At 40.9% G+C, this 1285-nt stretch overlaps 1 annotated feature.

Moving 5' to 3' along the window:
* Nucleotides 530–1031: an enhancer, noted in NCBI's record as "NANOG hESC enhancer chr4:30106274-30106775 (GRCh37/hg19 assembly coordinates)". NCBI's record gives its function as "activates a minimal SCP1, AML or CMV promoter by ChIP-STARR-seq in primed H9 embryonic stem cells {active_cell/tissue: H9 hESC(primed)}" and the evidence as "EXISTENCE:reporter gene assay evidence [ECO:0000049][PMID:30033119]".

The raw sequence follows: 1285 nt of genomic DNA, 5'->3' as shown, positions 1-1285 counted from the left end.
CTTCTGCTGGCGCAGTGCAGAAGGAAAATGTGAGATTGAAGCCCCCACTCAGAATCCCCACACAGAGGCACTGCCTAGTGGAGCTGTGAGATGAGGGCCAGCATCCTCCAGACCCCAGAATGGTAGATCCACTGACAGCTTGCACTGTGCACCCAGGAAAGACAGAGACACTCAATGTCAGCCCGTGAAAGCAGCTGGGAGGGGGCTGTATCCTGCAAATCCATAGGGACAGAGCTGCCAATACCTGTAGGATCCCCGCTCTTGCATCAGCATGACTTGGATGTGAGACATAGAGTCAAAGTAGATCATTTTGGAACTTTAAGATTTAATGACTGACCTACTGGATTTGCATGGGGCCTGTAACCCCTTTGTTTTGGCTTATTTCTCCCATTTGGAGTTGGTATATTGACCTAATACCTGTACTTCCATTGTATCTAGGAAGTAACTAACTTGCTATTTTACAGGCTCATAGGCAGAAAGGACTTACCTTTTCTCAGATGTGACTTTGGACTTGGATTTTGGGGTTAATGCTAAAATGGGTTAAGACTTCGAGGCACTGTTAAAAAGGCATGATTGTGTTTTGAAATGTGAGGGCATGATTTTTGGGAGGGCCAGATGCAAAATGATATGGTTTGTGTCCCCACCCAAATCTCATCTTGAATTGCAATAATTCCTATGTGTCATATAGGGGCAGGACCAGGTGTAGGTAATTGGATCATGGGGCTGCTTCCCCCATGCTGTTCTCATGATAATGAGTGAGTCTCAGGAGATCTGATGGTTTTGTAAGCATCTGGCATTTCCCCTGCTTACACTCATTCTCTTTGTTGCTGCACCATGAAGAGGTGCCTTCCACGATTGTAAGTTTCCTGAGGCCTTCCCACCCATGCAGAACTGTGAGTCAATTAAACCTCTTTTCTTTATAAATTACCCAGTCTCGGGTATTTCTTTATAGCAACCTGAGAACAGACTAATGTAGGAATTTAAATAGTTATATTTAGGTTACTATCCATTTAGCAAAAATGATTATATTCCCAACCTTAATTAATATCTCTCTCAAACATGTTTCTTAACATTTTCCCTGTTGAAAATTAAATTTTTATTTTTTAAATAATACATCAAGATATAGAATGCAGAGCATCCAATAAGAAATATCAATTTAACTCAGTCTTACCCAATGGCAGAGTTCATACACACCAATGAATATTTCCCTATATTTAACTCCTGTTAGGAATGTTAATATGTTTTATTCAGTATTTTTATGTCAAAGTCGTCCTAGTTATGCTTA

The sequence above is a fragment of the Homo sapiens genome, chromosome 4 (assembly GCF_000001405.40).
Source record: "Homo sapiens chromosome 4, GRCh38.p14 Primary Assembly".
Lineage (NCBI taxonomy): Eukaryota > Metazoa > Chordata > Mammalia > Primates > Hominidae > Homo > Homo sapiens.
The sequence above is the reverse complement of the archived record's forward strand: the minus strand, read 5'-3'. Positions and strand labels throughout refer to the sequence as shown.